At 47.4% G+C, this 25,941-nt stretch overlaps 1 protein-coding gene and 1 long non-coding RNA gene across 2 annotated transcripts in view, besides 12 other annotated features; one reads left to right on the forward strand and one right to left on the reverse strand.

Moving 5' to 3' along the window:
- CCDC69 (coiled-coil domain containing 69) overlaps window positions 1-21,987 on the reverse strand; it is a 43,041-nt gene extending 21,054 nt beyond the window's left edge. Inside the window, exons 1-2 of the mRNA NM_015621.3 lie at window positions 21,818-21,987; window positions 3,295-3,370 (exon numbers count right to left, since the gene is read on the reverse strand). Coding sequence (NP_056436.2) covers window positions 3,295-3,370; window positions 21,818-21,865 — 124 coding nt within the window. The 5' untranslated portion in view covers window positions 21,866-21,987. The remainder of the gene's footprint in view (window positions 1-3,294; window positions 3,371-21,817) is intronic.
- Window positions 9,193-9,252: an enhancer, noted in NCBI's record as "active region_23445". NCBI's record gives its function as "activates an Ori minimal core promoter by ATAC-STARR-seq in GM12878 lymphoblastoid cells {active_cell/tissue: GM12878}" and the evidence as "EXISTENCE:reporter gene assay evidence [ECO:0000049][PMID:35858748]".
- Window positions 9,753-9,962: an enhancer, noted in NCBI's record as "active region_23446". NCBI's record gives its function as "activates an Ori minimal core promoter by ATAC-STARR-seq in GM12878 lymphoblastoid cells {active_cell/tissue: GM12878}" and the evidence as "EXISTENCE:reporter gene assay evidence [ECO:0000049][PMID:35858748]".
- On the forward strand, window positions 10,029-22,245 carry LOC105378230 (uncharacterized). The gene is made up of 4 exons (NR_160730.1): window positions 10,029-10,154; window positions 10,654-10,784; window positions 18,239-18,627; window positions 21,371-22,245. It is a non-coding gene; the product is annotated as an uncharacterized LOC105378230 (long non-coding RNA).
- Window positions 10,563-10,752: an enhancer, noted in NCBI's record as "active region_23447". NCBI's record gives its function as "activates an Ori minimal core promoter by ATAC-STARR-seq in GM12878 lymphoblastoid cells {active_cell/tissue: GM12878}" and the evidence as "EXISTENCE:reporter gene assay evidence [ECO:0000049][PMID:35858748]".
- Window positions 11,463-11,512: an enhancer, noted in NCBI's record as "active region_23448". NCBI's record gives its function as "activates an Ori minimal core promoter by ATAC-STARR-seq in GM12878 lymphoblastoid cells {active_cell/tissue: GM12878}" and the evidence as "EXISTENCE:reporter gene assay evidence [ECO:0000049][PMID:35858748]".
- Window positions 11,523-11,602: an enhancer, noted in NCBI's record as "active region_23449". NCBI's record gives its function as "activates an Ori minimal core promoter by ATAC-STARR-seq in GM12878 lymphoblastoid cells {active_cell/tissue: GM12878}" and the evidence as "EXISTENCE:reporter gene assay evidence [ECO:0000049][PMID:35858748]".
- Window positions 12,383-12,432: an enhancer, noted in NCBI's record as "active region_23450". NCBI's record gives its function as "activates an Ori minimal core promoter by ATAC-STARR-seq in GM12878 lymphoblastoid cells {active_cell/tissue: GM12878}" and the evidence as "EXISTENCE:reporter gene assay evidence [ECO:0000049][PMID:35858748]".
- Window positions 12,783-12,842: an enhancer, noted in NCBI's record as "active region_23451". NCBI's record gives its function as "activates an Ori minimal core promoter by ATAC-STARR-seq in GM12878 lymphoblastoid cells {active_cell/tissue: GM12878}" and the evidence as "EXISTENCE:reporter gene assay evidence [ECO:0000049][PMID:35858748]".
- Window positions 19,770-19,989: an enhancer, noted in NCBI's record as "active region_23452". NCBI's record gives its function as "activates an Ori minimal core promoter by ATAC-STARR-seq in GM12878 lymphoblastoid cells {active_cell/tissue: GM12878}" and the evidence as "EXISTENCE:reporter gene assay evidence [ECO:0000049][PMID:35858748]".
- Window positions 21,410-21,519: an enhancer, noted in NCBI's record as "active region_23453". NCBI's record gives its function as "activates an Ori minimal core promoter by ATAC-STARR-seq in GM12878 lymphoblastoid cells {active_cell/tissue: GM12878}" and the evidence as "EXISTENCE:reporter gene assay evidence [ECO:0000049][PMID:35858748]".
- Window positions 21,540-21,739: an enhancer, noted in NCBI's record as "active region_23454". NCBI's record gives its function as "activates an Ori minimal core promoter by ATAC-STARR-seq in GM12878 lymphoblastoid cells {active_cell/tissue: GM12878}" and the evidence as "EXISTENCE:reporter gene assay evidence [ECO:0000049][PMID:35858748]".
- Window positions 21,860-21,939: a silencer, noted in NCBI's record as "silent region_16521". NCBI's record gives its function as "represses an Ori minimal core promoter by ATAC-STARR-seq in GM12878 lymphoblastoid cells {active_cell/tissue: GM12878}" and the evidence as "EXISTENCE:reporter gene assay evidence [ECO:0000049][PMID:35858748]".
- Window positions 23,423-23,717: a silencer, noted in NCBI's record as "tiled region #974; K562 Repressive non-DNase unmatched - State 23:Low". NCBI's record gives its function as "represses a minimal TATA promoter and a strong SV40 promoter by Sharpr-MPRA in K562 cells {active_cell/tissue: K562}" and the evidence as "EXISTENCE:reporter gene assay evidence [ECO:0000049][PMID:27701403]".

Consider the following 25,941-nt stretch of genomic DNA (forward strand, 5'->3'; position numbering starts at 1 on the left):
AGCACTTTGGGAGGCTGAGGTGGGAGGAGCACTTGAGACCAGGAGTTGGAGACCAGACTAGGAAACATAGTGAGACCCTATCTCTAAAAAAAAAAAAAAAAAAAAAAAAGCTGGGCATGATGGCATGCACCTGCAGTCCCAGCTACTAGGGAGACCAAAGCAGGAGGATGGTTTGAGCACAGGAGTTCAAGGCTGCAGTAAGCTATGACTGCATCACTGCACTCCAGTCTGCGCAACAGAGCGAGATCCTGTCTCTAAAATAATAATAATAATTTAAAAATTAGTTGTTGATACTTAATAACTGGGAAGCTTTTACTTAATAATTCTGATTTCCAATTTTTCTTGAAGAATCCAAAGAAGAACTGGCAATGTATGCCTTCATGTCAACCAGGGGCTGGAGCCAGAAGCAGCTGCCTCCTCTTTGGCCGGCCAGGATAGGGCTCTGCAGTTGGCTATAGTCTTCACCTCCTGCTGTTATTAAAAATGTATACAAAGGGCCACATGTCATTTGCTTTACCTGCTGGGGCCCATGAGCATCTGAGTTTGTGGCCCCTCACCTTTAGCGTCTCCTCAGCTGGTAGTAGAGGGTGCTACTTGAGAGCAGGAAGGAAACACAAACAGGAAGTCTAGCCCCTGCTTCGGGAAACTCCAAAACAGGACCTGCCAATGCCACACTGAGTCTATCAGATACTAGGTATGACCTAAGGCAGTGGCCATCCTCTCTGTGCCTCAGTTACCTAATACATGGGATCAGGATAATTATGGCACCTACCACATGAGTGAGGCTGAGATGATTAAATCAGGAAACAATGGCAATAAAAATAGTAAAAGCAGGATAGGAGGACTGAGAGCTTACCATGCCTGCAACATGTCCAGCACTGTTCCAAGTGCCTCAGAGGGATGACTCACCTGCTCCTCACAGCTACCCTATAGTCGTGAGTAATATTATTACCCCCATGCTACAGACGAGGAAGCTGAGGCTCAGAGGAGTCATGCAACTTGTTCAAAGTCACCCAGTTCAAAATTAAGGGAGCAGGGATATGAACCTACACAATCTGTTTCCACAGCAAATACTCCTAACTACCACCTTATCCTGCTTGCTTGTGCACAAAAGGAAATGTAGGCCAGGCGCGATGGCTCACACCTGTAATCCCAGCACTTTGGGAGGCCGAGGTGAGCAGATCACTTAAGGTCAGGAGTTCGAGACCAGCCTGGCCATGGTGAAGCCCCGTCTCTACCAAAAATACAAAAAAATTTAGGTGGGCATGGTGGCAGGCGCCTGTAATCCCAGCTACTCGGGAGGCTGAAGCAGGAGAATTGCTTGAACCTGGGAGGCGGAGGTTGCAGTGAGTCAAGATCCTGCCACTACACTCCAGCCTGGCAACAAGAGTGAAACTCCGTCTCAAAAAAATAAAAATAAAAATAAAAAATAAATATATATATATTTAGTAAATATACATATTTAATATATAGTAAATATATATATTTATATATTAGTAAATATATATATTTAGTTATATATATGTACTAAATATGCAGCTTCTGCATATTTAGTATATATAAAAAATAGTATATATAATAAAATATATATAGTATATATATTATATATACTAATAAAATCTATATAGTATATATAATATATACTAATAAAATCTATATAGTATATATATACTAATAAATAAAATATATATAGTATATATAATATATATCGTATATATAGTATATATATAAAATATATATCATATATAGTATATATATAAAATATATATCGTATATATAGTATATATATAAAATATATATCGTATATATAGTATATATACTAATAAATAAAATATATATACTATATATATATAATACAAATCTGAGATTTTTATTTAGTTGGTCTGTGGTAGGTCCCTAGAATCTGCATCTTTGAAGTTCTCCAGGTAATTTTTCTTTTTCTGAGACAGGGTCTTGCTCTGTTGCCCAGGTTGGAGTGCAGTGGTGTGATCACAGCTCACCACAGCCTCAACCTCCTTGGCTCAGGTGATCCTCCCTCTTCAGCTTCCCAAGTAGCTGGGACTACAGGCACACCGCCACTCCAGGCTAGTTTTTTGTGTGTGTATTTTTGGTAGAGACGGGGTTTCACCATATTGCCCAGTCTGATCTTGAACTCTTGGGCTCAAGCATTCCATCCACCTTGGCCTCCCAAAGTGCTGGGATTATAGGCAAGAGCCACCGCACCTGGCCTGGATAATTCTTATATATAATCAGATTGGATTTTGTGGTCCAATTACTTATGCGGTACTTGAACTTCACCCACAATATTCCCAACAGCCTCTAGGCTGTAACTAAACACGTTCAGAGATAGGGAGCTCCTCCTATTACCAGGTAGCTCTGATGATTTTAAATCAACAACCACACAAAAAATTCTTTGAGATTGTGTTGAATTCTGCCTGCATGTTGCTGCTACCCTGAGGCCTTAATACTGACCTCTGTATCACACTAAACAAGGCTCATCTTTCTTCTCCATTAGGACACTTCAGACATGTGGAGAAAACTGTTGTTTTATGGCAACATATATTTTTTTTCTGGATGTAGTAATTTTTATTTTCGTACCATGGACATTTCAAAGAAAAGAAAACAAATATTATTTCATTGTATTTAGCTCTACTCATTTGAAAAAGAAAATTAGATATTCAAGTTAGAAGGTTCCCACATGATCCATTACAAATTAAAATTGATTTTAACTTATTTTATATATATGTATATATTTTTCTTTTTCAACTTTTGTTTAGATTTAGGGGTACGCATGCAGATTCATTACCTGGGTATATTGGGTGATGCTGAGTTTTGGGTACAAATGATCCTGTCACCCAGGTACTAAGCATAGTACCCAACAGTTTTTCAACTCTTGCTCCCATCCCTCCCTCCCTCCCTCCCTCCCTATGGTGACATCTTCTTTCCAGATGAACATTCTCTGTTCCTTTAACTGTTCCTTATAGGACATGTTTTCCAGATTCTTCACCAGTCTGATCTTGTTCCATTGTACTCCCTCCAATTTTTTTCTGGATTCCTCTAAAAATGTATTTTCCAGAAACATATATAGCACTCTAGGTGTGGTATCAACAGCCTAGAATAGGGAAGCACAGGTCAGGACTATTAATTACCTCCCTGATTTTAGACACGATACTCCTATTAAGGTAACCTATCTGAGATCTCATGAGATATTTCAGCAGCTGTATCATCTGTGTTGATTATAAGGTAGGAACCTCACAGATGGCAGTTGGGGCCTTTGTGGGGCTGGCTACTCACCTGTGTCCCCATTGAGGGGACCTAATTCATGGGGCTCTGGTCTGGGTGGCTGTTCTGGTTCTGGTTCTTGGCGCTTCTGGAAGAAATGAGACAACAGCAAGGCGTGGGTAGAGGGTGGGAGGTCAATGCGAGGACGGGCTGCTATAGTGGGACTCTTCCAAAGGCAAGGCAGGACCTTCAGTTACACCAGACCCTGCCCCACGCCTGCGCATTGGGCTGCCTCGCAGCCCCAGGCAGCAGACCCTCTACCGGGGGAGGGGCCCCAGAACAGGACTTCTCATCCCTGTCAGGGAAACCCTCAGGGGAGTTTGACACTGCTTGACCTGTCCCTAGATCCTTGCAGTCTGGCTCCTGCTGCCATCCCTGGGGGCCTCTCAGACCACCTCTTTCTTCTCCCGGGATCTGGCCGGACCTGCTATTACCCTCACTCCAGCTATGCACTTGAGGTGCCCTAGAAACCTCCCAACCCCCAATTCGGAGATGATTTTTGCTTGGAGAAAACTCAAACCATTTTTTCTCTGCTCTCACACCACAATAATCATCCACACAGAAGAAGACTTCTGTGTGTGTGGGAGGGGCTCTCCCCATCAGTGCTGCAGCAGACATCAGCTGGGTGTCCTCTAATTCAATTCTGACACTATCTACCTGGAGATAGTGTCACAAGTCTGGGCCTCCAGAACTTTTGACAGATGGGCTTCAAGTTGAGGTTTCCTTGACCTCCTCTTTGGGTTTGATTAATTTGCTGGAGTGGCTCACAGAACTTGGGAAAACACTTACTTATAATGACTGGTTTATTGTAAAGGATAGTACGAAGGATGCAGATGATGAGCTGCATAGGACAAGGTATGGGAGAAAGGGAGGGAGCTTCCATGCCCTCCTTGGGGGCTACCATCCAGGAACCTCCATGTGTTCAGCTATGCGGAAGCTCTCCAAACCCAATCCTCTCGGGTTTTTCATGGAGGCTTCATTATGTAGGCATGATTGATTAAACTATTGACCATTGGTGATCAATTTGACATTCTAGTCCCTCTCCCCTCCCCAGAGGTTGTCGGGTGGGGGTGAAAGTCCCAAACCTCTAAGAGGAATAAGTAATACAAAAGGGCTTTCTGCATCACAAAGCAGTGTCAGTGGCTCCCAGATTTCATAAATGAGTAATTTTTAAAAAATTTAATTAATTAACTAATTAATGTATTTATTTTGAGACTGAGTCTTGCTCTGTCGCCCAGGCTGGAGTGCGGTGGTGTGATCTCGGCTCACTGCAACCTCCACCTCTCAGCCTGGAGTACAGTGGCACGATCTCGGCTCACTGTAACCTCCACCTCCTGGGTTCAAGTGATTCTCCTGCCTCAGCCTCCTGAGTAGCTGGGACTACAGGTGCATGCCACCATGCCCGGCTAATTTCTTGTATTTTTAGTAGAGATGGGGTGGCACTGTGTTAGCCAGGATGGTCTCAATCTCCTGACCTTGTGATCTACCCGCCTCAGCCTCCCAAAGTGCTGGGATTACAGGTGTGAGCCACCGCACTCGACCTTTTTTTACTTTTTGAGACAGAGTCTTGCTCTGTTGCCCAGGCTGGAGTGCAATTGCGTGATTCTGGCTCACTGCAACCTCCACCTCCTGGGTTCAAGTGATCCTCAGCCTCCAGAGTGGCTGAGACTACAGGCATGTGCCACCACACCTGGCTAATTTTTGTATTTTTAGTAGAGATGGGGTTTCGCCATGTTGGCCAGGCTGGTTTTAACTCCTGGCCTCAAGTGATCTGCCCACCTTGGCATCCCAAAGTGCTGGGATTAGAGGCCTGAGCCACTGTACCTGGCCAAATGAGTAATATTTTTTAATGGGAGAGTTGATATGGGCTGATGAGGATGCTGAAAAAAACTATTTGTAGATTATTATTATTATTATTATTTTAGATGGAGTCTCGCTCTGTCACCCAGGCTGGAGTGCAGTGGCGCAATCTCAGCTCACTGCAAGCTCCGCCTCCTGGGTTCACGCCATTCTCCTGCCTCAGCCTCTCGAGTAGCTGGGACTACAGGCGCCCGCCACCACGCCCGGCTAATTTTTTGTATTTTTAGTAGAGATGGAGTTTCACCGTGTTGGCCAGGATGGTCTCGATCTCCTGACCTCATGATCCACCCACCTTGGCCTCCCAAAGTGCTGGGATTACAGGCATGAGCCACTGTACCCGGCCTAACTATTTATAGATTATTACTATCATTATATAAAATAAAGGACATTTTAGTCTTCCAAAATATAGTAAGGAAAAGCTTAAGAACAGTCTTCCAGGAAAGGAGAACTGACGTGCTTACTGAACATTACACACTCGCTCACACCATCATTTTCTCATCTCATGCTGGAGAGGTGAAAAGTTGGTTGAAGTCTGGCGGTGGTCACCAGACCAGGATTTGGGTAAAAAAAATTTAAGCCCTTTTGTATGCTTTTCTCTTCTCTTACAAAGAAGAGAAAGAAAGAGAGAAGGAAGGGAAAGGGCAGAAAGGAAGGAAAAAAGGAAGGAAGGAAGAAGATGTTCTAGATTCAATTTTAAGAAACACTTTAAAAAACAAGTCAGGCCTGGGCACAGTGGCTCATGCCTATAATCTTGGCACTCTGGGAGGCCGAAGTGGGCAAATCATTTGCAGTCAGGAGTTCGAGATCAACCTGACCAACATGGCAAAAACCCCTCTCTAATAAAAATACAAAAATTAGGCAGGTGTGGTGGCGCACACCTGTAATCCCAACTACTCAGGAGGCTGAGGCATGAGAATTGCTTGAACCCAGGAGGTGGAAGTTGCAGTGAGCCAAGATCTCGCCACTGCACTCCAGCCTGTGCAATAGAGTGAGACTCTGTCTCAAAAAACAAACAAACAAAAACACAAGTCAAACTATGAAGAGGCTATGAAAATGTTCGACAAAAATTATTAAAAATGTCCTAAACTGAAGAACCACTGAAATACTTCTAGAAAGCATGCTTCTCACTGGGGAGGGAAGATGTATCAAGGGAAGTCTTCTAGAATAGCCTGCTTCTCCCCCATGGTGCTGGGCACAGAGCCTGGCATGTGTAAGCCCCTGGAGGACTGAGGGAGTCATGGGGCCTCCCCCAGGTCCTCGTGCCCCAAATCTGCTGAGTGGCTGGGCAGACCTGACAATTTAGCTCCCCCACCACCCTGGTGAAGACTCAATCCTCCCTTTCCAGGGAAGAGGAGGAAGCCTGGTCCAGGCACGACTCAGAGAAGCTGTCAACTCCGGAATCTGGGGAAGTGACAGCAGCCAGCCTCCCCACCCTGGGCTGGAGGAAGAAGGGAGATAAACATAAATGGTTGTCTCTTCCTTGTTGCCACGACTGATTAGCTGAACTCAGACAATGTTTTTATGGGAGCCAGAAGGCCTAGATTCTAGTGCCAGCTCTGTTACAAACTTGGGCAAATCCCTTCCCACTCTGGCTTCTGCTTCCTCCTCTGTGAGGTGGGGATGAGGACGTCTGGTGGTTTAACTGGATGATCCCATAGTGTTCAAACTCTAAGCTCTCATCTCAGCTCCTCTCAACAGCACTGTGAGGTAAAGGTCACTACAGGCGAGGAAACTGAGGCTCAGGGAGACTTAAGACACTGTCACACTGTGCCATAATGTTCAAATCAGCATTAGAACCAGGTGTGAGAATATCAGAGACTGCAGAGCAGAGTGGTTAAGAACTCCAGAATTCTAGAATCACACAGATCTGGGTTCAAATACTAAATCCAACACCGTGTGACTGTATGACCTCTCCATGCCTCGGATTTCTCATGAGGCTCTTTTAGGATGAGATGAAATAATGCAACTGCAGTGTCTTGCACATACTAAGAGCTCAAATATTGCATAAGACGATTGCCATGTTTCACAAACATGGCAAGAACAAAGATCCCACGTCATCTGCTTTGGCAGACCTCTTGGGCTGCCCCTGGGTCTCAGTTTTGTCATCTGAAATAAGTTCATAATCTCATGAAATGCTGCCTTCTTTCAGATAACCACCACCAGAGAATGGTGGAGAACTCTTTTCCACAAACAGCTTTCAGACCACAGGCAGCACGTGGCCTTGTACTTGAGTCCCCAGCTCTTGACAAAACAAGATAACTCCTTCAGAATGGCAGTTAAGGCTATCACCATCTGTCCCCAGTCTACCCCCATTCCAATTTCTTTCTTTTTCTTCTGTCTTTTTTTTTTTGAGATGGGGTCTTGCTCTGTTGCCCAGGCTGGAGTGCAGTGGTGTGATCAGGGCTCACTGCAACCTCCGCCTCCCAGGCTCAAGCAATTCTCCTGCCTCAGCCTCCCAAGTAGCTGGGACTACAGGCGTGTGCTACCACACCTGGCTAATTTTTGTATTTTTGGTAGAGATGGAATTTTGCCATGCTGCTCAGGATGGTCTCGGACTCCTAGGCTCAAGTGATTTGCCTGCCTTGGCCTTCCAAAGTACTGGGATTACAGGCATGAGCCAAGGTACCCAGCCTCAATTTCTTAATACTTAAATTATTTATAAACATCTTCTTCCAGTTAAAGTACTAGTAGGCATTTGTTGTAGAAAGTACAGAAAATACATGAAAATATAGAAAGAAAATCTCACGACCCAGAGAGAACCCCATAACCTGGTGGCATATATTGTTCATCTACATATACATATGCAATGATATTACATATACTTCCTCATATCTTACTTTTTCAAATATATTACGAGCACTTACTACACAGCATTAACTATTCTGCAAATGTGTTAATTTTAATGATGAGCAGAACATCCCTATGGATGAATTTAGTCATTCACTGTTGAGTGTTTAAATTGTTTCCACTTTTTAATTTGCAGGTTAATTTGCTTTAATAAATATATTGATTTAGGCCAGGTGCGGTGGCTCATGCCTATAATCCTAGCACTTTGGGAGGCAGAGGTGGGTGGATCATTTGAGGTCAGGAGTTCGAGACTAGCCTGGCCAACCTGTGAAACCCCGTCTCTACTAAAAATACAAAAATTAGCCAGGCGGTAGTGGCATGCGCCTCTAACCCCAGCTACTTGGGAAGCTGAGGCAGGAGAATTGCTTGAACCCAGGAGGTGGAGGTTGCAGTGAGCCAAGATCGCACCACTGCACTCCAGTCTGGGCGACAGAGTGAGACCCTGTCCCAAAAAATAAAAAATTAAAATTAAAATTAAAAAATAAACATATTGATTTGTAAAATTTTATACACATCTAATATTACATGTCTAATATTGGAAGGTTCGACCAATTTACTCACCTTCAAATGGCACGCAAGAAGATCAGTTTCAGCTAGGTGTGGTAGCTCACACCTGTAATCCTAGCACTTTAGGAGGCCGAGGCGGGAGGATCACTTGAAGCCAGGAGTTTGAGACCAGCCTGGCCAACATGACAAAACCCCATCTCTACTAAAAATACAAAAATTAGCCAGGTGTGGTGGCACGTGCCTGTAATCTCAGCTACTTGGGATGCTGAGGCACGAGATTTGTTTGAACCTGGGAGGCGGAGGTTGCAGTGAACTGAGATTGGGCCACTGCACTCCACCCTGGGTGACAGAGCAAGACTGTCTCAAGAAAAAAGAAAAAGACCAGTTTCACTGCAACCTTGCCAATGTGGAATATTATCACTTTTTAAAAAAATGTTGGCAAATTTGCTAGGTCAAAACCCAACTAAAATAACCTAGTGCTACCTATTACATGCCTGCCCCCAACACAGGCATCTGTATGTTCGAGACATCTTACATGCTCAAGACCATCCCACCGTGACGCGTGGTTAGGTCTACCTCGGGCCCCCAGGCTCAGTGCACACACCATTTCTCTGCTTCTCTCCTGACCTGCCCTGGGGCGGAGTTAGTTCCTGTTTTCTCCATGTTCCAGGCACCCCTGAGAGTATCTACATCTGGTTAGCTGTCTGTCTCTCCTGCTAGCCCAAAGGGCTCCTGAAGGACAGGATTTTGAAATCTGTATTGGACTTGCCCCAGTATGTTATGATGCCCAGAACAGTATTTCTTAGGAATGTGGTCTATGGACCTCCTGTACTAGAGCCACCTGGAAAGCTTGCTTAACACGAATGTCCAGGCTGCATTCTAGACCTACAGTATGTGTGCTGGGAATTTGCATCTGCTTTTTTTTTTTTTTTTTTTTTTGAGATGGAGTCTGGCTCTGTTGCCCAGGCTGGAGTGCAGTGGCACGATCTTGGCTCAATTGCAACCTCTGCCTCCCAGGCTCAAGCAATTCTCCTGCCTCAGCCTCCAGAGTAGCTGGGATTACAGGCACATACCACCACACCAGGCTAATTTTTGTATTTTTAGTAGAGACGGGGTTTCACCATGTTGGCCAGGCAGGTCTCAAACTCCTGACTTCAAGTGATCCACCCACCTCAGCCTCCCAAAGTGCTGAGATTACAGGCATTAGCCACCACGCCTGGCCGGAATCTCCATCTTTAGCAGTCTAGCCAGATGATCCTAGTGCACACAAAAGCCTGAGGACATGTGACCCTGAGCTAGGTAGGTCTCAACAAGCAACTACTGAGTGGAAAATCCCCAGGTTGGGGTCCTGACCACTTCCTCCTCAGAGGTCATGGAGCAGACGGCACCTGCAGTGTGTGCGTGGGTGGTGGTGGTGGGGGGGGGAGTTGGGAGGGGGACATAAGAATTTTCCCTTCCAAAAGAGGGGTGGGGAGCATAGGGCTGGGGTGGGGTATCCGGACTACACTCTGGAAGAGGGATGACAGCTTCCTGAGTCAACGGAAACTTGGTAGCAAGAAAGCTGCAGAGGAGGCTGCCGGCAGTACAGGATGCAGGGAGAACCCAGGCCTGGGGTTGAGGCCAGGAGACTCAATTCCAGCTTTACTGTGTGCCTTTAGGTAAGTCATGTTCCTTCTCAGTTTCCCCATCTGTGAAGGGTCAGGGCTGGAACAGATGCTCTCTTCAGTCCTCCTGAGCTCCAGGGCAGCCCTTCTCCTAAGAAGGCTGGAAATAGAGCCCCTATACCCAGGTGACACTCACAGCTTTGGGGCCTAGATCCTTGCTGTCAAGCAGACCAGAGCCCTGCAGTAGGTTCAACCTGAAGCAAACCTGAGATAGTAGGACACAGCTGTCAAAAGCAGACAGAGTCAGGGTAGAATGAGAAGACAGTGTCCAGAGCCATGGAGAGCCACATGAGCTCAGATTGGGGCTGGTGAGATGCTCTAGAGTATACTCTCATTTTAGAGGGTAAACTGACACACTGGAAGACGTCCCAAAGAAACCGACAGGATGTAGGAGGTGGCTCAAAACCAAATTATAGGAGGGGCTGTTAACAGAACAAGAGTTGGTCAGCCTTGAGAACAGGCAGGAAGACCTGATATTGTCTTCAAATCTCAGCAGGAATGTCATGGGTAGAAGCTGCTGGCGTGTCATCTACAGCCTTGGAGGACAGGATTGTGGCCAAGCATGAGGAGGTTCCAGAAGTTTCAGTTCAGTATGAAGAAAAATTTCAGAACCATCACAAACTGGTAGGCTGCCTCATTGGAGGGTGGGGAATCGTGGTGGAAGTGAGCGCTCCATCATTAGTAGCATGCAAGAAGAGGTTGGAGAGTCAAACTTCATGCTGTAGATTGGACTGGTGATCTTTTAGAACCCTGAACTCTAACAGTCTATAATTCTAAAAAGCATCACTGATGTTCGGCAAGTGAAAGCCTCTGGTAAGCATAAAGAAATTATCTACTACATGGCATGTAAAGACCACCAGCATTAATGGAACCTCAGGGAGCTCTGTTGAATGCTATTCAGGGAGCAGCATTTTGGGGTGAATGGCTGTAGTCACATACTCAAGCCTTTGGGATAGACCCCTAAACTTCCCTCAAATTATTTTTTATTTTTTATTTTTTGAGACGGAGTCTTGCTCAGTTGCCCAGGCTAGAGTGCAGTGGCGTGATCTCGGCTCACTGCAAGCTCTGCCTCCTGGGTTCACGCCATTCTCCTGTCTCAGCCTCCTGAGTAGCTGGGACTACAGGTGCCCACCACCATGTCCGGCTATTTTTTTTTTTTTGTATTTTTTGTGAAGATGGGGTTTCACCATGTTAGCCAGGATGGTCTCAATCTCCTGACCTAGTGATCCACCCGCCTCGGCCTCCCAAAGTGCTGGGATTATAGGCGTGAGCCACCATGCCCGGCCAACTACCCTCAAATTCTGAGCCTCACCAGGCAAGAGTGAATTAGGCAGAAGCAACTTGGATAGAAGCCGCCCAGCTATTCCCTACCTTGGGAATCCTAGTAGGATGGAAGGTAAGAGTAGCCCTGAGGGAGGTTCAGCCTGTCCTGCAGAGACTTGAGCTAGCCCTCTTTGGGAGCCATCACTCCATTCTGTTTGTCAGCCTTCAAGGCTTGTGTATTTCTGATTAAGTGCTTTGTGTCCTCATTGTTCCTGCTTAACTTAGAGAATTTAGTAATTAAAGAAGACTCCTTAAGAGTTCACCCAGCTCCTCCGTGTCCCATACATCACAGGCCTGGCTTCCTCTGAGCATGTAGTTCTATCACACCTATCCTGGCTGAGGAAGGCTTACGGGAACCCAGAGCAGGGTTGGAAGGGCCCCAGGAGGCAGCTGACTCCAATCCCCACCTCCTTTTTCCAGATAGAAAAGCTGAGGCCCAGAGGTGGGTGGGCAGATAACTTGTCAGAAGCTGCAAAGCAGGGAAGCAGAGCCCTGGGGAGAATCCAGACTCACAGCTGAGGCTAGAGTCCTTTCCGTCCCCCTGATGCCAGGGTCAGCTTTATCTGAGTAGCTGAGCCTGTAGGGGAGAGGTGATTCTAAGTCTCAAGGGGCTCAGGTCACACCCTCCTCAATATCAGAGCTGCCTTTCCGGTGTCTGGCCCAGCACCACTAGTGCTGGGATCTAAGTAACCACAGTCAGAGCCTATTGGCCGAGGGTAGAGGCAGGAAGGAGGCGGGGAGTGTGGCCCAAGGGGCCCCACTCCAGGGCCTTCGGGGAGGAAGGGCGGGGCCTAAATGATCAGGGCTGTTGAGAAATGTTAGTGTTCACACCCGAATTACAGAAGCTCAGACAGAACACCATAAATACAGGCCTTAGCCTCCCCATCTCTAAGATGGGCAGAGATATTCTGCCAAAGTAATGCCTGAATTTGATGTCATTGAAACTCAAACACTGCCAGGGACATTAAAGATTTAATTCATCCCCTTCATATCATATAGTGTGTGGTCAACATTTCCTCACTGGCTGGAGGACAGTCCAATGTGATTGTACAACCAACTTAAAGTTAGAAGTGCCAGGCTGCACCACTCCGCTGCACCGGGGACACGGCCTATGCTCTGAACACCTGCAGGACCCCCAGAGCACACAAGTCAGGGGCGGATGTGGTCTCCACTGCTCCTATCTGACCAACTGATGAGGTGTCTCAGGGGAGCAAAGGACCACTTCCTTCTTAAATACCCCTGCACCTGGTGAGCCAGACCACAGCAGACAAGCATCAGAAGGGCCTTGAGTGCAAGGCCTCACTTCACAGACGATGACACTGAGGCCTAGAGAAAGCCTTTCTAATACACCTTATTTATTTTCTTCCTCCCTAGGGCTCCCGTTTTCTTGTCCCATATCAGCTTCCCAGGGTGTCTGCTAGTTCTGGTTGCCTCAGAGGGCCTGGAGCTGGCAAAAGCACTAGACATTATTTCTAGCATTTGGGTCAGCCTGGCAGGCAGGACCCTGAAGGAGCTGGACAGAAAATGGTGTCAGTAGCTGGATGGGGGTGGGGAAAGAGACAGGCTGAGGGCCCAGATACCTGTCTCCCAGTCCAATGGCAAACTGGAAGGCCAGAGCCAAGGTCCTAGCTTGCCATCTGAGGCTGAGCGCCTGGATACCTGTCTCACAGTCCAATGGCAAATTGAGAGTCCAGAGCCAAGGTCCTAGCTTGCCATCTGCTTGCTGTGTGACCTTGAGTGGACACTCTTCCTTTTCTGTGCTTCTGTACCCTCCTCTGCATGGCATGGAATTGTGCAATGGGATACGTAAGAGCCCTTCTGGTTTTGACATGCTGTGGATGGGGAAGAAGGGGCAGAGTGAGGTCATCTTGCTATCTCATCTTCTGTCGATCCTGTCCGGCTTGTTTGCTCTGGGCAGGGCAGAGGCAGTTTGACACACTCAGCTGTTAGCTCTGGTCATGGAGGGGGCTTCTCTGGAGAGCAGGAAAGGAGGGTCCCTTGCTCAGGAGGCCTGGGTGAGAACCTGGAGCCCTCCACACCATCCCCTGTTCTTCAGCAGACAGTGTAAGGGTGGTTGTAAAAGAGAGGGCGGGATTGCCTGAAAGCAGAGAATGACAGAGCTCAGCCATCTCCCAAGTTGCACGCAGCATGCTCCTAATTCTACAGTAGCACTGTGAACAGAAATAAGTACCCATTAGTGAGGACAAGGAGGATGCACAGGATGCTCAGGGCAGGACCATTTGCAGTAGGGAAATGCTGTAAACTGAGGACTGGCTGGATATACTCAGGGACATAATACTATGTCATTTCATTCATATGTTTAAGAGAGTGAAGTAGACCTTTATGTACAAAGATGGAAAGGCATTTGGTAAAATACCAATATCCAAACTAAACTATTTCTTTTCTGTCACCCAGGCTGGAGTGCAGTGGTGTATTCTTGGCTCACTGCAACGTCCACCTCCCAGGTTCAAGCAATTCTCCTGCCTCAGCCTCCCCAGTAACTGGGACTACAGGCATGTGCCACCATGCCCAGCTAATTTTTGTATTTTTAGTAGAGACAGGGTTTTACCATGTTGACCAAGCTGATCTTGAACTCCTGACCTCAGGTGATCTGCCCGCCTTAGCCTCCCAAAGTGCTGGGATTACAGGCGTGAGCCACCATGCCCGGCCAACTATTACTAATGATAAAAAAATGCATAGGAAAAAGTACCTAGAAAAGCACAAACTGATAACAGTTGTCATCTCCAGAGAATGGACTAAAATTACTGTGGTCAAGGAAGGGTAGCTTCCATTTTACATTTTACCTAAATTATTAGGATTTTTTTTTTTTTTTTTTTTTTTTGAGACTGAGTCTTGCTCTGTCACCTAGAGCGAGTGGTGTGCAGTGGTGCGATCTCGGCTCGCTGCAGCCTCTGCCTCCCAGGTTCCAGCGATTCTCCTGCCTCAGCCTCCTGGGTAGCTGAGATTACAGGCACGTGCCACACGCCCGGCTAATTTTTGTATTTTTAGTAGAGACGGGGTTTCACCATGTTGGTCAGGCTGGTCTCAAACTCCTGACCTCAGGTGATCCGCCCGCCTCAGTCTCCCAAAGTGCAGGGATTACAGGCGTGAGCCACCACGCCTGGCCAATTCTTAGGATTTTTAAAGCAACAACGCATTCAAGAATTACTTATATACAAAGAAATTAACAACAACAAGAAAAAGGTACCTCTCTTGGAACCTGAAAGCCTCCCCCAGAGTCAAGGTACAGACAGAGAAATCAAGGCTGGGGAAGAGAATAGTTAGCAAAAGAGGCAGAAGTGGACCCATTGTTAGAATGATGAATACCAGAGGTTGGGAAGGACGTGTGTGTGGGGTGCGGGGAATGAAGAAAGGCTGGTCAAACGATACAAACATACAGCCAGATGGAAGGACTACATTCTAATGTTCCATAGCAACCATGAACTGTATACTTTAAAATAGCTAGAAGAGAGGACTTGAAACGTTCCCAACACATAGAAATGATAAATACTCGAGGTGATGAAACTCCAAATACCCTGACTTGATCATTACACAGTCTATGCACCTAACAAAATATCATATGTACCTGAGAAGTATGTAAAATATTATATATCAATAAAAAATATAAAGAAGTAGGCCCCATTCTTGACTCCCAGTCCAGTGCTCTTTCCTCTACAGATGCAGCTGCTGGTGTCCAAAAGCAATGGGCCCTGTCCAGGCACCTCCTTGTTTACAGTGCTGCCTCTTCTGCTGCCAAGATGGGTTCCAAAGGGAGGCACTGGGTTCTTGCTGTCATTTTTGATTGCTGGCAACTTGGGGCTGGGGGTGAGAGGGTGGGTAAGGAGCAATTAACCTTGCGATATGAAAGTTTCCTAAAGCTGCTGTAACAAATTACCACGCACTTGGTGGCTGAAAACAACAGAAATGTATTCTCTCACAGTTCTGGAAGTTAGAAGTGTAAATTCAAGGTATCAGCCGAGCTGGCTCTTCTGGAGGCTCTGAGGGAGGATCTGTTACCTCCCTCTCTCCCAGATCCTGGTGGGTGCTGGCAATCCTTCGTTCTCTGGCTTGGGAGATGTGTCACTTCATTCCCTGCTCTTCTCCCTGTGTGTCTGTGTCCAAATTTCCCTCTTCTTGTTGGGACACCAGTCACTGGATTAGGGCCCATCCAATGTGACCTCATTTTAACTCAATGGCCCCTGCAAAGACCCTATTTCAAATAATGTCGCATTTACAGGTTCTGGGTGAATGTAAATGTAGGAGGGGACATTACTGAATCCAGTAAAGGTAACAGCTTTTCTGATGTCCAGGCCATTTCCTTAAGGAAGGCACAGGGGCAGGGTCACATGGGGCAGTAGAAAATGGCGAGGAAAGCCACAAAGGTCATTGTACACTCAGTGAAAAAAAACTCCATTGCAGAGAGGAGGAAATCTGGAAGTAGGTCAGACTGCATATCACTTGTCTTGGGGGGATGCATGGATGTGGATGGCTGTTTTAGGTATAGTACAGTGTTTGGCCTAGATGTTCTGGAAGGTTCAGATTTGAAAATAAGGTGACACAAGATAAACTATTTTTAGGGATTAAGATTCACCTTGCAAGACAAATAGGATGGCTTGTCTTCAGGTAATGGATGGGTTTAGATCTGCTAAAGATGGATGGATCTTCTCTTGCTCCTTTTCTCTGCCAAGGTGGGACAGCAGGAGCTCCCTCCCCACTGCCAGTCCTGCTGCAGTGGGGGCTCCCAGTCTGGCCCTCTCCCCTGGTCACTGGGGACGGCTCACAGTGCTGAGGGAGGATGATGCAGAGGACCGAGTGCCAGCCGTGTGGACGGAAGCCCAAGTACACCCTGAGGTGTCAGAGCCAGAACTAGGGTCATCTGAGAGGCTCTTCCTTTCGTTGGGAGGGTACTTACACTCTTCGAGTTTATTTTTTGAATATGAACATTCATGAATTTCATACTGAGACCCCTTAGAGCTCCTTTTCCAGGCAGGTCTCAGACTTCTGTTCACTGGCTGATCTATGCACCCTGAGATGTCAGGGGGCAGCCCCTCCTAACCAGAGTTTCACTGTCTTGATTTATATAGCAGCCTGTTTCTGTGCAATTAATTTAAAATTTCATCTTTTCTTCCCTTTTTATGACAAAAAAGAAACACAGTGCTGACATGAAGCACAGGTCCCAAGCCTAACAGCCAACTGAAGCAAAAATGGGAGCCCTTAGGTATCTGGGAACTCGTCAGGCTCTCAGGGGACCTACATCAGCCACCCATGAATTCAATAGAGGAAAAGAATTAAAAACATGTACATGTGCAGAAAATATATCACCAAAGGTTGTATCTCAAAGGCAGAGAGTATTGGGAATTATTCTAGTGTGTTTTAGGTTGCCAAACGCAAAAATCTGGTATTTAATCTCACAGGTCTTCCAGAGTGCCTTGTGCATGGAAGCCTGTACTGGCTTTAGCTAGGAAGATTGGTGGGCATTAGTTTCTAGGTTGGGCAAAATCATCAGCTCGGAGGCCATGTACATGCCAACATCTCCATGATGGTTGGGGCAGGGGGCTGAGTGCTGCAGAGGCAGCTTTCCTTCACGCTCCTCAACTGTCCTGCCCTTACCAACCGAGCTAGAAGATCAGATTTGCCCACTCCTCCTGACCAGGTGTCAAGGGCTGCTCCCATATTCCTTCTGCCTAGCATGCCCTCCTGAGTAACTCGCCTGCCCCATAAGTGCCTAACCCCCGCCCCCCTTCTAAACCCAGCCAAGATGCTGTCTCTCTAAGGGGCCTTCCTTGACCCCCCCGAGTCCAAAGCCACACTGGCCCCAGGTAGGAGGAAAACACAAGGGATGTTCATCAATTACCAGGGTAGGAGTGCAGACTGCAAAGAACCACGCGTCCAAACCGGTTAAATAAGCCACGGAACAGCCACAGGACATTAGGTAGCCATTAAAAAGTCCGTGTTTCCATGGACTACTTAACATGGGAAAATGCCCCCGGAAGAATATTAAGTAACTGGAATATAACCATATAAAACATACTCTTAGCTTTATACAGATAGTCATACTCACATCTATAATATACATAGGAAAAAATGGTACAAAGAATGACACTGAAATGTACACAGTGGCTATCTCTTAATTGTGAGATTAAAAGATTTTTTAATTTCTTATACTTTCCCACATTTTGAAATTTTGACTCAAAATAATAATCAGAACAATTCCATTTTTTAATGGAATCGTAAATATTTGCTAGTCGTAGGTTTGCATCCCCTCTAATATTCTTGCCAAAATGCCACCTGACCCCTGCTTGAACCCTCCAGTGATAGGAACTCACTACCCTTTGAGGCCTTTTTTTGGCCACTTATTCCTCATGAGTAGAAATCTGCTCGATTTAGCCTCCCCTACTGGCCACTGTGCTGCCTTCTGGAACAACAGAGAAAAAAACTGCTTTCCATGCCCCTTGACAAGACTTCAGAGATTTGAAGGAAGAGGCCAGACACTAGCCTGCATCCTCCCACCCTGCCCGCGTCAACCTTCCAAGAACACTAATGTCCTTTAGCTCCCACGTCCCGGGGTACTTTCCTTGGGTACAATCTAGGCAGTGATGTCCTTAAAGCATAACATTAAGTCTGTGCCTCCTTATCTCCTTCAAAGGCATCCTTCTTGCTAGTCAGGGTATCAGAGACTCTGTCACATACAGTCTTTCATCTAATCTTTAGAACAACCCTATGGCACAGGAGCTAATACCAAGCCTATCTTACAGATGAGGAAACTGAGGCATGGAGAAGCCAAGCCACTCTTAAGGTCACTTAATGGATCTTCCATGTAGTCAGGACTGAACCAGCATCCAACCCAGAGCCCGGTGTGGTCGACCCACAAATGTTTGCCAAGTTAGCCATGCCCTTGTTGTCTACTGGTTGATTTCAGAATTACCCAAGCCTGCACCAGCCTCTTCCTTATCATTCACTTCTGTCACCTGGCTTGCTACATGGATGTGCTCATGAAGGGCTGCTGAATGACTGACCCACCAAGTACCTGTCACCTGAGGCCCAGCTTTGGCAGCTGTGCTGAGCCCCTTCTCAGAGGTCCTGCTTGGAACTATGGAGCTATAGCCACAGCCTTCGGGAATGGAGAGTTCAGACATCATTCCTGGTACTCTGCAGTGTCACACAAAGGGGGTTGGCCACGAGATGCCTCCTGCACCAGTCCCCACCCCCCCTCCGCTTCCTACCCTATTGCCCAAGGGAGGCTGGTAACCTGTTGGGGATAGGAAGGCCCCTCCTTACCACTGTGGCTGGCAACTCCCCAGAAGGCTTGTTTCCTTGACCCCTACCCACTCTGCCTGGCCTTCTCCTGAGTCCTCCTGGGGGATGTGACCACATTAGCCATGGTCTTTGCCAAGAAGAAGGGTTTAGGCAGGACCACACGATCCAGATGGTTCCTCAGCACCCACCCCCAGCCTGCCAGGAACCCTATTCATTTATTCCCAGCATTTCAACTTGTCCCAATAAGGCAGTGACCTAGTCCCAGGCCAGGCCTCTCAGGGTGGTCTAGAACATCTAGTCGGCCAAGCCCAACAGGCACCATAGACCACAGAACTCAGCAGACCCCCAGATCCTTGAACCTGGAGGGACATGAGAAGGCCTCATGGTCAAGCTCCTGTCCCTAGCCAGGATAATCCTTTCTAAAAGTGCCTGCCTCATTCCTTGCTGCCTGCCACCTCCATTCTCCACAAAGAACCCCCTCACGCTGTGCTTTCAGTGGCTCAGCCTTTGCTTAGGCCTTGGCCATGAGTGGGTAACTCCTGCCATACCTTCCAAACCACCCTTCCTCAAAAACCCTTCCTGCATCTCTCAAGGCTAGATGTGATGCTCCTACTGCTCCCTGGGCCAACCCCTAGCATGGCTCTTATTTGTCCCTCATTCACTCAAATATCTACTTAAGCACCTGCTCCATGATCTGTATAAGGCAATGAGCACCAGATGGGGAGTGCAGAAAGCCAGGCTCAACTGCACAGCTTTGCCACCAACTGGCTGTGTGACTTTGGACCCATCGTTCCTCACTGAGCCTCAGTTTCCCCGGTAAAGTGGGAAAGATTCTGCAGCTCAGCCTAACTTCCAGGGCTTCTGTGAGACTGGGCGGGATGTGAAAGCATGCTGTAAACACTCAGGGTGAGTCATGGTTATCAGAACCTAACCCCTCTGTAGCCTGAGCTCATTTTTGTCCATCCCATCCCTGGAGTCCCCCTCTCTCCCAGGGGGCTGGTAGCCTGTTGGGGATGAACTTGGGAGCTCATGCCTTCCAAGGGGTTGGCACCTGGGTGAGAAATTGGGCAGGAGCACAGCCTACAGGGATGAGAACTTTAAACAAAAACAGCCCATAAATCTTGCCATATAGGGGCAGGGGCCTGGCATGGCTGGGGCCAAGAAGGCATGCCAGGCTGTTCTCTGAGGCAACAGGAGTAAAAGATTTTACGCTAAAGTCATCAAGAAGCCACTGGAAGCACAGCGGGAGGAGGTGGAGACAAAGAACACGGAGCTAGGGGACTAGATACCTGGGTTCTGCTCTGTGTTGCTCTGTGACCTCAGTCATGCTCCTTCCCTTTTCTAGGCCTTAACCTCCTATCTGTATAGTGGGTGCGTCAGCCCAGGTAGTACCCAAAGGCCCTTTCCAACTCAGACAGGCTGTGCCAGCTTTACTTGCCCTTCAGAGCTTTGGCTGTGCCAGGGACAGGCAGGAACAGCTGGTAAGTCTCTCAGAAGGAGCAGGAGCCAAAGAACCTGTGCTTACTGTGACCTCCTCTTCCAGCTTGTGGAAGGGTCAGGCTCTTCCCCGTTTCCTCCACCTCTAGGTAGATGGAATTCACCCTTGGTCCACTTTGCAAGCTACAAGGTTGACACAGGTGCAGAGAACACAGACTCTCAGATGCTTAGGGATCATCCTGCTCATCACTCCCCATACAGGGAGAAACTGAGACCCAGGGAGACACAAGGGCTTGCTTGGGGTCACCCAGTATGTTTATGGCACCACCAGGACTTACACCCAGGGCTAATGTCTGCCTACCACTTGCTCAGTTACAAGTCTCAGCCAAGGCTCAGGTCTCTCCGCCTTGTCATCCCTGTCAGCCAGCCCCTTCCTTCTACTGATAGAGCCAAGCCTCAGTTTCCCTGTTGGAGTGAGTAAAGACATGAGGGTTTCTAGGTCAGGAGTTGGTGAGAATTTCAATCTGGTAATAAAGGGAGAGCAAGGAAAGCCAGGAGGTGTCAGAGAAGGGAGTAGAATCCTCCAGGCTAGGACTACTGTTAGGCAGAAAAACCTGTACTCAGGGCACAAGCAAAGCAGGAGCAGAGGGAGGACTAAAGTTCATTGCAAAACTATTAAACACTGTCACAGTTTGGGGCCTCTCAAGGTCTCAAGGGGGAATGATGATAAAGTTTAAGGGATCACCTAGTCCCACCTGGCTAGGGGGCAGGTAGTGGTAAGAAAAGGGGCCAGAATTTGAGGGTCCTTCTTCCCCTCTGCCTCACAGTGTCCCCTGAGGAGGCTATCTTTCTAGCTCCAGGCTCTGACCTTCTGGGCTCGTCAGACCCCAAGGGGCAGCTGGTCTCACTGCAAGAAACCTGAGAATTGTCCCCTGGGCCCTGACCCAGCTCCAAGGCCCCTTGGGGGAAGGACAGGAAGGGAGGAGAGGGCCACAGAACGCAGTAGATCTCCTCCCTCTTTGGCCCCTCCCAGCTACCCCAAGGGCAGCCCACACTCACCAGCTCTGGGGCCTGCAAGAGCCCTAAGACCAGCGCCTCAAACTTTAAAGCGTCATCACCTGGGCATATTGTTAAAAGGCAGCTTCTGTCTTGGCAAGACTGGGCCTGAGCCTGAGATTCTGCATTTCTGACAGGTCCCCAGGGATGCTGATACTGCGAGTCTGTGGAACACTCTTCGAGCAGCCCTGAGATTATCAGCCTTTAACCCCCGGGGGGAGGAAGCCGAAGGCCCAGAGAGGTCAAGTCACTTGTCCATGGCCACACAGCGAACAGCCCCAGACCGAAAGCAGAGGGCACCTGCCACAGACACACGACATCTCCCCACCCGAGGCAGCGGGAATCAGCTGCCTTTCCCTGGCCCGGGTGCCGTGTTTGTAAACTCGGCTGCTTGGTGCGGCTCGGGCCGGGGTAAAGGGCGCCTCCCAGCAGAGCCTCCCTCGTCTCTGAGCTGGCCTCTCCAGGTTCTCCGTCCGGTATCCCGGGCCGACCAGAGAGAGCCCGGGGCGCCGAGTCCTCTGCGGCGGAGCGATTCCGCACTCCCCTCTCCTCTGAAAGCAAACTTCTCCGCCGGCGCCCTTTACCTTTTTCGGGGGTTTGCAGCTGCTCAGCCTGCTGTGTCTGCAGCCCATCCTCCTCCGGGGGCTCCCGGACGCCGCTTCCCAACTCCGGGGCCCCCAGAGGAGCCTGCGATCCGGGCCCCGCTGCCCGCTCCGCGCCCGCCGGCTGGGGCTGCCGGCGAGACCCTGAAACTGAACCTGGAAGCGCTGTCTTGAGCCTGAGCTGGGGCGGCCGCCCGCCGTAAATACCCGAAGAGCGGGGCCTCAGTGTAGCCCGCAGGGCCAGCGGCGCCGCCACCAGAGGCAGGTGACCAGAATCCTTCTAAATAATAGGAAGCTCTGGTCAGGGCAGAAGAAAAGAAAACCTCAAGGAGCAACAGATGCTTTTCCGAACCCTCAGCTAAGAAAGGGCCGGGGGAAAAAATAATTAAAGCAATTATTTGATAAACTAACAACTATCATTCATTGAGGGCTGTTTTTGTCCCAGTTGTTTTATACATTTTATTTCTATTTCTTGCCATATCAGTGCAACAAAGGTATTACTTCCTCCATTTTACAGGTGAGGAAAATGGTGTTCAGAGATGCAACATGATTTGCCTAAGGTCACATGGCTAGTAAGTTACCACAGCCCAGATAGAATCCAGTTCCTTTTTTTTTTTTTTTTTTGCCGCTATCATAGTTCACTGCAGCCTCAAACTCCTGGGCTCAAGCGAGCCTCCCAGCTCAGCCTCCTGAGTAGCTGGGACTACAGAGGCTCACCACCATACCCAACCAAATTCTTTTCTTTTTTCCAGTCTGATTTTGAACGACCGCCCTCAAGCGATCCTCCCACCCTGGCCTCCCAAAGCGTTGGGATTACAGGCATGAGCCACTGCACAGAATACAGTTCTAACTCCAGAACCTAAACTTTGACTCAATGGCCTACAAATAAATCATAATACTAAGTTTATTGTATTTATTTATTTTTGAGACAGAGTCTCGCTCTATTGCCCAGGCTAGAGTGCAGTGGCACGATCTTGGCTCACTGCAACCTCTGCCTCCCAGGTTCAAGTGATTCTCCTGCCTCAGCCTCCCCAGTAGCTGGGATTACAGGCATGCACCACGACACCCAACTAATTTTTGTATTTTTAGTAGAGACAGAGTTTCACCATTTTGACCAGGCTGATCTCAAACTCCCAACCTCAGGTAATCCGCCCGCTTCGGCCTCCCAAAGTCCTGGGATCCCACACCTGGCCAATAATACTAAGTTTAATTTTAATGCCTCCTCACTTCTGGGCTGATAGTTTTTTCCACCTCACAAGCATCTGTAATATTTGACTCTATCCATCTTGGATAGATGTTATTCATCACAACAACCTCTTGAGGCAGGCCAGGTATGGTGACTATGGGACATAAAATGTCAGTGTCTAGGAAAAGGAGCTTTTGTTTATCTTCTCTTTGTTATTAGCTGAGGTTTCTGAAATGGCAATGCAGGAAAAAGATAACCAATTTTGAAAATCAGTGTGTATGCCTATTTGCGTGTATATTGGAATATTAAAGTCAGGCCCAAAACTCTTGGAAAGGTGTGCTGTGAAAACGGCTTAGAGTCATGAATGGGGAAAGAATATGAGACCTCAAAAAAATTGCTCCCTCCATAGGGTACAAAACCAATTGCAAAAGTGTGTAAGAAAGGAAACTAAGGAAACGTGTTATTAGGTTCTCAAAAGCAAGTATAATAGAGAATGGTGGCTCACAAAGTGTGATTCCCAAATCAGCAGTGTCAGCACTACCAGCCGCCTTTGTTGGAAATGCAAATTCTCGGGCCCCACCCCTGGCCTAAACTCTGGGGATGGGGCTTAGGAATCTATGGCTTCATAAGCACTCCACTCATGTCTGGCCTGGGCTAAAGTTTGAGAACCCCTGCCATAGGACGTGCTCCACAGGTACTGAAGAAACAGGATATACTTAAATTATACTAAAATTAACAATGTTTATTGGAACAGTGCTCATGATTAAAAACAAAGAACCCAAAACAACCTAAACAGCCAAGAAAAGAAGGTTGGTTAAATACATTATGCTATATCCATAAAAATAGAATGCCACATAACCAGCAAAAATACTGATGAAGATGAATTTTTTGTGTTACAAAACATAACAAACTCATTTTCATTAAAAAAAAAAATTGAGTGACTACCACTGTATTGGTGAGATTTTGAAATTTTAAAACAGTTTTTTTTTTTTTGAGACAGGATCTTGCAATATCACCCAGGCTGGAGGGCGGTGGAGTGATCATGGCTCACTGCAGCCTCAGTCTTCCAGGCTTAAGTGATCCTCCCACCTGAGCCTCCCGAGTAGCTGAGACCACAAGTGCCTGCCACCAAGCCTAGCTAATTTAAAAAAAAAAAATTTTGTAGGCCAGGCACAGTGGCTCATGCCTGTAATCCCAGCACCTTGGGAGGCTGAGGTGGATGGATCACCTGAGGTCAGGAGTTCGAGACCAGCCTGACCAATATGGTGAAACCCTGTCTTTACTAAAAATACAAAAATTAGCCGGATGTGGTGATGTGTGCCTGTAGTTTCAGCTACTCAGGAGGCTGAGACAGGAGAATTGCTTGAATCCGGGAGGCAGAGGTTGCAATGAGCCTAGATTGTGCCATTGAACTCCAGCCTGGGCAACAGAGCGAGACTCCCTCTCAAAGAAAAAAAAAATTTTTTTTTGTAGGCCAGACACAGTGGCTTATGCCTGTAATCCCAGCACCTTGGGAGGCTGAGGCGGGTGGATCACCTGAGGTCAGGAGTTCAAGACCAGGCTGGCCAACTTGGTGAAATGCCGTCTCTACTAAAAATTAGCCGAGCATGGTGGTGCATGCCTGTGATTCCAGCTACTAGGGAGGCTGAGGCAGGAGAATCACTTGAACTCGGGAGGCAGAGGTTGCAGTAAGCAGAGATCGTGCCACTGCACTCCAGCCTGGGCAACAGAGTGAGATTCCATCTCAAAAAAACAAACAAACAAAATTTATAGAGAGTCTCACTATATTGCCAAGGCTGGTCTCGAACTCCTAGCCTCAAGCAATTCTCCGACCTCAGCCTCCCAAAATGCTGGGATTACAGGCATGAGCCATTGAGCCTGGCTTCATTTTCTTATATTAAATAATGAGGGCGGGCACACTGGCTTACGCCTGTAATCCCAGCACTTTGGGAGGCTGAGGTGGGAGAATTGCTTGAGGCTAGCAGTTCGAGACCAGCCTGGCTAACATGGTGAAACCCTTCTCTACTAAAAATACAGAAAATTTGCCTGGGCGTGGTGTTGGGTGCCTGTAGTCCCAGCTACTTGGGAGGCTGAGGCAGGAAAATGGCGTGAACCTGGGAGGCAGAGCTTGCAGTGAGCCAAGATTGCGCCACCGCACTCCAGCCTGGGTGACAGAGCGTCTCAAAAAAAAAAAAAAAAAAAAAAAAAAAAAATGAGCATGCACTTATTACTATTGTAATAAACAATATTATTTTAATATGAAAAAGTTTTCTTTTAATATGTTTTTAAACCCATACATGAAACTATCATTAGTTTTTCATCATCAAGACATGGGCAGTTCTGTGAAATCCTAAAGAAATGGACAATGACTGTGATTAATTAGGTAGAAAAGCAACATAAAGGGCAAAGATGGCTAAACTGTGAGCATGAGATCCAAACCCGTAAAGTGATCCTGAACCAGTAATTTCTCCTTTCTGAGAGTTTCTCATCTATATGTTGAAGAGTTGAACTCTCCAAAATTGACCCCAAATTTTAATGTCAACAATTGAAATTAATAACTTGGGGCCAGGCATGGTGGCTCACACTTGTAATCCCAACATTTTGAGAGGCCTAGACAGGGGGAGCACTTGAGGCAAGGAGTTTGAGACCAGCCTGGACAACATAATGAGACCTTGTAAAAAAGAAAAATTTTTTTTAATTAGCTGGGCATAGTAGCGTGAGCCTGTTGTCCCAGCTACTCAGGAGGCAGAGGCCGAAGAATTGTTTGAGCCCAGGAGTTTGTCATTACAGTGAGCTACTATCATGCCACTACACCCCAGCCTGAGTAACAGAGGAAGACACTGTCTCTAAAAATAAATAAAGCAGAAGAAAATAAAATGAATAGCTTGGAGTGGTGGGTAGGAACTAGGAGGCAAGTTCT

Source organism: Homo sapiens, chromosome 5, assembly GCF_000001405.40.
Source record: "Homo sapiens chromosome 5, GRCh38.p14 Primary Assembly".
Lineage (NCBI taxonomy): Eukaryota > Metazoa > Chordata > Mammalia > Primates > Hominidae > Homo > Homo sapiens.